Source organism: Homo sapiens, chromosome 5 (assembly GCF_000001405.40).
Source record: "Homo sapiens chromosome 5, GRCh38.p14 Primary Assembly".
Taxonomy (NCBI): Eukaryota; Metazoa; Chordata; class Mammalia; order Primates; family Hominidae; genus Homo; species Homo sapiens.
Window position 1 is genome coordinate 24,834,568 of NC_000005.10, and position 8,843 is coordinate 24,843,410.

The 8,843-nt window shown below is 35.1% G+C and overlaps 1 long non-coding RNA gene across 1 annotated transcript; it reads right to left on the reverse strand.

Annotated features, from left to right (window-relative positions):
- Positions 1 to 712: 712 nt before the first annotated feature.
- LINC02239 (long intergenic non-protein coding RNA 2239) lies at positions 713 to 6,016 on the reverse strand. The gene is made up of 3 exons (NR_037896.1): positions 5,682 to 6,016; positions 4,289 to 4,371; positions 713 to 2,584 (listed from the first exon to the last, which is right to left on the reverse strand). It is a non-coding gene; the product is annotated as a long intergenic non-protein coding RNA 2239 (long non-coding RNA).
- Between the last annotated feature and the right edge of the window lie 2,827 nt (positions 6,017 to 8,843).

Consider the following 8,843-nt stretch of genomic DNA (forward strand, 5'->3'; position numbering starts at 1 on the left):
CTATCTATCTATCTATCTATCTGGCATCTATCTATCTAATCATATGTCTTATTGGTTCTGTTTCTCTGGAGCACATTGACTAATGCACACTATAAATCTATCCAGTTGTATGTTTCAAGTGTTACCAATTTTACTTTTTGACATGTAGCTATCCTGTGTTGTTCCTATTTGACATACTGTGAACAGTACACATTGTATTGACAAGTGCATGATGGGGACAAAAGTCTGAATTCAAGGATTTTTAAAATATGTTGAGTACTTTTATCATAATTGCTATATATAAGAAATCTCATGTATTTATGGGAATTAGAACTCATAATGAAAGGCTAGGAAAGAAATTCTCAAAGTTTTTGTTTCAGGACACCGCTGCACCCTTAAAATATTGAAGACCCCAAATAATTTTGTTTTATGGCTTATATCTTTTAATATTTACTACACTTGAAATTAAAACTGAGATTTAAAAGTTTATTGAATAATTTAAAAATAGCAAGATTAACCCATTACATGTTAACCTAAATAACGTATCTTTCTAAAAATACATTTCTAAACTAAAAAATAATTGGTGAGAAGAGTAGCATTTTTCTACATTATTGCAGATTTAAAATCTATCTGGCTTATTAGGAAATAGTTGAATTCTCAAAACTCTTTTGCATTCAACCTATTATAATATGTTGTTTTGGTTAAAGTATAAAAAATCAGGCTTACACAGAAATATAGTAGGAAAAGGAATAATTATTTTAATAATGTCAAAGATAAAATTAAATTTGAGACAAAATTAGTAAATGCTACTTATTCCTGATCATGCAGCCTTAAAGGAAACTATCTGTGGCCATGCTCTTTTCAGCAGGATTCAAAGGTATTTGAAGGAAGTTTTGGTTTTATAGAGGAAAAGGAGTAAGTCCTGAGATAGATAGACTCTGATTAGCAAGTTTTCTTAACACTCTTACGGGATTTTTGAAAGTGGTGGAGACTTTCTAATTGTTCTTCAGGTACATTTTTGTGTCCTTGTGTCGTAGGACTTTTTCCTTAGTTCAGCTAAGAGCCAGTTTCTTGTCACATGGCCATGAGATATTAGACTCGCAGACACTTTGAAGGTTGAAAAAAATGGAATTTTTGAGCAAAAATGGACAGAAAGGGAAACAGGACTCTCTGCAAAGCTAGGGTCCTGCAAGTGTGCGTCCTGCCTCACAGATTGAATTCCAGGTTCCACCCAGGAAGAGGAGGGGCCAAGCTCCTCCCCACTGCAAATGAACAAACTTCCCGAGGCTCCATCCCAGTGTGCACTCATCCCAGGGACAGGTGGGTTGGGGGTTCTCTGGTGACCCCTTTATACTCAGCTCTCTCACTTGGTTGGCTGCAATTGGGTAGATAAGCGATTTGGGGAGATTTCAAAAGAGGAAAAACTTGCTTAATCTTCAGTGACAAACTCTCTGTAGCTAGCCATTTTGGGGAACAAGAGGAGGCTGATGGAATTACTTTTCTCACTCAAACTCATGCTGTTTTTATGGCAGGCAATCTCTCAATAATATATTTAGGTAATATTGCATATTCTTCTTTTATACTATACCAAAACTCCACAAAGTGTAGTCTATTAAAAGTTAGTTGCAATGTGTTAACTGAAACCGTATCAGTAAACTTTTTATCATCTGGTACATTAAAATCCATTGGTGTATTTTGAATTTGACTGGATCTTTTCCCAGCCTATGATTTTATAACCCTGTATATTTTTCAATTGGAAAATATTGTTTTATTGATTTATGCAAATCTCTCAAATGTTGGCACATTTAATTATAAAATATTTTTAAATAGCATCCATTTATATAATTACTGACCTTGTCAGAAAAGACTCCAAGAGTTGGAAGGCTGTCAAGCTTAGTCATTGACATACATTTTCTAAAATTTCACTTTTCACAAAAAGCTCAATTTTTATGAATCCCAACAAATACTTTTAGTTATGTTCTTTGAAGTGTCATGCTTACTTTGTTGATTTTTCTAGAAAATGTCTGCTAAATGCCCAAGCCTGAATGACAAGAGTAAGATTGTAAGCCAATCTTTGAAATAAAACTTCTGTTGAATGGAAAAAAATCAACTGGCTCAGCTTGCCACTCAATCACAGATGTACTTTCCTTCAAGACAACCATCAACCACCATACTTTAGTAGACAGCAGAAGTTCTTCATGAGAATTTTACATTTTATCACACAGAATATCAAAAGTACATACACTCATACTCAAAGGCCATTGTTTATGAAAATTAATCATATTTTACTGCTTTGGCAATAAGTTGCTGCTGTTGTGGTTTCTCCCTCTGATTGTGTAGAGGGAAGTTATAAAAAGTTTAGTAGTACGGTCTGCTTTCGCTTGTCTTGATTGGTGTGAAAGCATCAATGGTTTTATCCACCACTCGTTTTGTACCATGAGTTTAAATTTCAACACAGTAAAAAAGGCAAATATATCAGTTTACTATCATTGTGGAAATAGTTTTGATCTCCAGGTCTCCCTGAAACTGCAAACATCTTGAGTACCTCATGGTATATGGCACAGCTCTGGAAAACTGCTGTGGTAGCGGAAATGAAATCTGAACTCTATCCTTGATTCCAAGGTTTATCTCCCAGGGTTGTGGGGGGGAAAAGGAAGAAGAGAAAGGAAGAAAAGAAAATTAATGTAAATAATATTAACTGCAAAGAAAACAAATGCAATTATTATTAGCAATAGTAGTAGTAGCAGTGGTAGCAATAGTAGTAGTATTAACTTAGTTATTATGGATGATTATATTGACCTGACACATACAACTTTAAATTAAAACTAATTAGTTGGGCAAATGTAACAGTCTTCCATTACACTTTTTATTTATTCCAATAAATTTGGAATTCCTCTATTACATTTGGGAGTTATACACCATATAAGTACTTTCTCCCTAAAGTAGACCCCCAGCAACTGCTGCAAAATGTTCTTCCATTGGCACTTTTATATCCTGGCCACAGGCATATTGCCTAGGTTTTGCCAATCAGATTCAGCCCAGTGAAAATTCGGTTCAAACTTGAGCACCTAAGGGAAGGTACATCCATGTAAATCAACTTTATTCATAAAGGTGACTGTAGAAGCTTGTGGATTACAAAGAAAAAATGGCTGCATCAATGGGTTCTCAGTGATGTGGCTGCTGTTAATATCATGGATTGCAGGGCAAGTCAAGAGCCTGGTAGCAGAGCACGTGGCGGATCTACGGTGGCCATGGCAGTTGTGGAGCTTTCTTTTTAAGCAGATCTGCTTGTTATTCTCAGCACTGCTCCTGAATGATTATATTTGCACCACCTGGCAGTCATCCCAAAGGTATCTTGAGCGCCCCAATATTTTTTAAACTACTTTTATGCTTAATCATCTAAAATCAAACCCCTTTACAAAAAGTATCCTGTCTTAAGCAGGTAATGCTTTATGTTGGGCCATTTTTTTTTAAACATTTGGTATACTCTGAGATACATTTCACATGACGTGTTTCATTAGTGATAATAAAAATGTATTGCATTAATCAGGGTTCTCCAGAGAAACAGAACCATTAGGATATGTGTGTGTGTATATGTGTATGTATAAAAGGTGATTTATTATGAGGAATTGGCTCATGTGATTACACAGACTGAGAAGTTTCACAATCTCCCATCTGCAGGCTGGAGACCCAGGAAAGCTGGTGGTGTAAATCAGTCCAATTTTGAAGGCCTGAGAACCAGAGGAGATGGTATAATACCAGTCTGATAACTGGAGAAAATGAGATGAAGTGTCCCACCTCAAGTGGGCAGGGGGGAAGCAAAAAGGGGATGAATTTTTCCTTCTTCCTTGTGTTCTATTCAGGCTCTCAACCAATTGGTTGATGCTCACCCATCCTGGTGGCATCCTCACAAGGGGAAGGGAAATCTGCATTACTGACTCCACTGATTCATTGCTAATCTCATCAGGAAACACCCTCACAGACATACCCAGAAATAATCCTGATCCAGATACCTGAACATCTCCTATTCCAGTCAAGTTGACACAATAAAATTAGTTATCACATTTACAATCAATATAAAGAAATGTTCAGATGTTCAGATCTTTTTTCTATGGCCAAGTTTCATCCATCCAGGTTACATAAAAGCAAAATTACTTTCAAGGTATATATGTGCATTTTTACCTTGTTATTTAATACAGCATACTGCTTAATTTGAAACTTTGGTCTGTCAAGAAAATGTCCTGTGCATTAGTATAGGACTTAAATGTTCATTCGATAAAATGTATTTAACAATTTAGGCTTGACTAACCTTCATCAGAGATTTGCCTAAAGTAAAAGGCTGATAGAAACTCCATGAAAGCTCCAAGAACGCTTGTGGTTTATTTGTTTGCTCTTTCAGCAGTTGTCAATAGATGAAAATATAAAATTGAGAAATAATATTATATTTTGTGCCAGACATTGGCTTGCTGTGCACACAGGGTATTATTGGACAGAAACTGACAACTGTTTCATTAATGAAAGAATTGCCTCAGTACTCAGAAATTATGATTCAATGGGCATGAGCCCACAGTTTTGATGGAGTAGAAGCTTATTCTTTGAAATTTTCCTTCTGCATAGCATATTTATTAATTCATTTTTATTATCTAAAAATCATGTTAGAGCACTCTCTCTGTATCTAGGATCAGAATTCTTATTATCCTGAAAGCTGTGGGAATAGGGGATTTCTACCAATGCTAAACCTTTCCACTTTCCCTTCTACGTTTCATTTTTAGGAAAAAGTGGAGGACACTTTGAAGTATAATTTTAAACTACTTTCAAGTTTTGTTAAGAGAGTCTTTCTTCTAATAAGATGCTGTCTGGGGCTAATAAATAGTTAGGCATTATAAAGAGTGGGTGTAAACCTTACATACAATTCATTGATAGTTTTTTGCTCTGATAAGATTGTTACTATATCTATAAAATTATATCATAAGAGGCAGTTTTAAATAAAAAATGATTGAATAAATCCTGATAGCTGAAATTGTATAAGAATAGTAATTATTGTTATTATTAATAAGTTCCTTTGAGGAATTATTACTTAAATAATACAGCAAACATGTAATGATACATTCTGAATACATCAATAATGAAGTTTTTTAGACTACATGCTTTACAGAAACTTTGAACAAGATTTTCAACCTCAATTTGCTTCATATAGGAGAGAAAACTCTGTAACTCCTTAAAAGTACATCTAAAAAAGGGATTTTCTCCACTTTCCTCACACGTGCACGCATGTGTGTGTGTGTCTGTCACCTGTGTGAAAGATGACAGAAGCAGATAGAGCTAAAAGAATTTTCTAAAAATAAAATGCACTGCAGAAAAGCTCTGAGATCTCACAGAGAGTGCCAAAATATCAGTGCATCAGTAGCCAAGGGGATAAAAAGGGTATAAAAATTCCATTTCCTTAAACTCCACACTTTCCTGGAACAATGTAAAGAAGAGAGCCGTGCTGCCAAATAAGACCTTAACTTGAAATGCCAAAGTCTCTCGGAAGCAGTTTCTCAAAGATGGTATTTTAGGGCAAATGATCAGCAAGTCTTTGGTTTCTAGTGTTTTGTTTTCTTATTCATGTGGCTTCTAAAGCTGAAAATAATAAACTTGTAAGTTGGATTGAAACATTAAAGTATTAGATATTATAAATGTCAATATCAGACACATACTACCTTTGTTGCATTTTTTCCCTATATTGTTTTTAGATGTCTATCAGTTTGTATGTCTTCATTCAAATCTGCTCTTCTATGAAGCCGTCCTCAGCTTGTGGAAAAAATGCCCTCTTTATCACGAAAACTCCAGGAGAATTTACTTGTTGCAACTCTCATAGGGCTACTTTAAAAAAACTCTGAATAACTAGAGTAATGAAGAGAAGTCTAGGCCTCTCTTCATCTCGGGATGAATTAGAGGATTGATGATCAGGTTTTTATAAAATTCAATCTGAGCTAAAGAATGTGACCAAAATTATATTTTAAACCCTTCCCAACGTGTTGTCATTTGTGACATCACATTTAACTCAAACGTCATCTTCTGTGAGTTCTCTAATCTCACTACTTAAATCCAATCCCACTATTATGCCCTCCTTTTCAATGTCTCCAGGTCAGTTTCATTAGGAGTCAAAATATTATGTGCCTTTCATTGAAATATCTTCAATAAAGATAGCTTTTCATTGAAGAAAGATTTGATCTATGTCAGTGGCAACTTCCAACAGCTATGACACAGGTGTCAAGCAACTTGAATTTTATATGTCAGCATGATCATCAGATTGAAGGTTTGACTAAAGCGTGTGAGTGTGTGTGGGGTATGTGTGTACACTTATACTCCTCCCCAGATAAATTTTCATTTAATGGGTCTAGGACACACAAAAATCATGTGTCTAAAGTTTCAGTAATTTCCAAATAATTGCAAATGGCTATCATATGTCTAATAGTAACTATTCACTACCCCCACATCCCTCAGGTTCAACAGTTAGGCAATCCTTCCCTTTATTATCACATATTTTGAGCAAAATTTTTCCATAGTATTTGCACTGTCCTGCTGTGCTGTAATCTTTGGTTTATTGTCCACTTTCCCACTAGACAGAGATTTTTGTGGACAGAGCCTATATTATTTATTTCTATAGCTTTGAAACTACAATTTAATCTGACATATATATGTTAAACAAAGTTTAATAGACATATTTAGTTTGCTCTATATTTGTTTAGATATTAGTTTGCTAACTATGGTGTGAAGAGAGAGAGGAGAGTAACATTTAGAGATTTATTTTGGAATCAAATTTTAGTCTGTAAAGATCTTCTTAGTATTTGTCCTTTATTCATAGTATCATCAAATTTTTTTGTTGTTGTTGTTAAAAAGAGAGAAACCGTGATGTGCATTTACCCTGTACAACATTTAGCAGAGCGATCAGGAATCAGGCATAGGGGATTTCACACTGAAACTGTGTTATTTTCTTTTCTTACTCAGGAGGGAGCTCAAATATGGCGTGCTGCCTTTGTGGACATTTAATCACCAGTTATGTTTTCTTTACATCTTCAGAGTAAAACTTCTTTCCTTAAACATTTTAGCCCAATTATAAAACTTAACTGACACTTCTCAACATATATGAGTAGTATTACTAAACCATGAAAATCTCCTAAAATATGTCCATCATTGTCTTCTTTTTCTACCTCAAATTTCGCTGCCTCAGATTGCTTGCTGAACATCTCTCAGTTTATATATTTCACCAACTAATTGCACACATATAAAAAGAAAATAAGAACAATACTTTTCCACCCAGATCAGGTGTGTTTCTTCTCTCTTAGTAATGTCTCTGATGTCTCTTATTGTCAATCTTGACCCCCTCTCACGTCAAACACCCCCACCCCCACACGTCAATTATTCTGGCTTGAAGCCACCTCTGAGTGACCTTTACATCTCCCAATCCTTGGTCATCCCTCTCCTTTCCTAATAGTTGCCAAGCACCTCCTCTAGGGATGAAAATTGTTATAATCACTTCTTACTTCATTGCCCTTGACAGTGTTCTTGCTTACAACCTACACAACCTAGTTATTTCATTAAAATATTGAATTAATAGATGTTAATTCTGAAGAAATTAGGCAATTGACTTGAAAATTCAATGCAGCAAAAGGCTTTCTTTTTCTATTATATAGTTGTAATTACTTATCTTCTAGGATTTTCCTGTAAGACACTATTTTCAAGTTCTCTATGTTTAAAATAATAACAGTAACTATATTAATAATTCAAATATCATCATCATCGTTGACTGTAAAATGCCTTAATATCTGTGATTTTCTTTTCCTTTTTTATTTTGTTGGCAGAAATCACATTAATAAGAACCAACATGGAATCTCAACACGTAATACAGATGAAGCCAAAGAAACACAGATAGATTGAGGCAGAAAATGCAGAGACTATGAATCTTCTTGGATCCACATGAAGGTACCTACTGAGAGCTCACCTAAAACATTAGGTCCCTGCAGAGTGTGCATCAGATAATATTGTAAATAAATGACATTTTCCTGAAACACTTGTGAGCAAGCAGTAAAGTGCTAAGACAACATATAGAAACTATTTAGAAAACTAGGTCCAAAACAGTTGATTCTTGTTATTTGTGGTAGTTATGCTCTATAAATTACCCACAAACACTGAATTGGCAAATACCGAACCTTTGCTCCTGGGAGAAACACGGGGCTAGGTTCCTGAGAGCATCTGGTCACATTTTCATCAACCAGTCAATATGTAATGTTGTTTTATGTGTGTGCCTGTTTAAAGATGCCTTATTTAATCTACGTTGTTGACTTACTAACATTGAACTCACAACCAACAGCACTATAACTCATGACCAAATGAAGCTTATCTAACACACATATTTCCTTTGGAAGACACACTTAGACACACTAGATTATCTTGCACTTAGGTAATCTAGGCAGCACTTCAGTACTGTTTAGGGGCCATTTTAAACAGTGAAATTGCCAACAAAAATGAAAAAAAAAAAAAGATCATGGCACTAAGGAGACTAGGACGCTTGTTTACAGCCTGAGAGGTGAGATAAGAAGGCAGAGCATGGCCTTGTTTGATCTCAGCTAAAAACATGTGCATCGGACGACTCAAAATTTTCACTGATTTGCACATGTCCTCGGATGATGGAGAAGGCATCATGAGTATTGATTTGATTTGGGGTTCTAAATATATTTCACTGCGTAGGCAAATTTGCAAACAAGCAGTCTATGAATAATGAGAATAGACTGTAATCACTTTAATGTGTCAGGAATGAAAGACAGCATGTTTGATGCGGATGTATCTTCAATGTTGATTACACTTTAATGCAATATTAT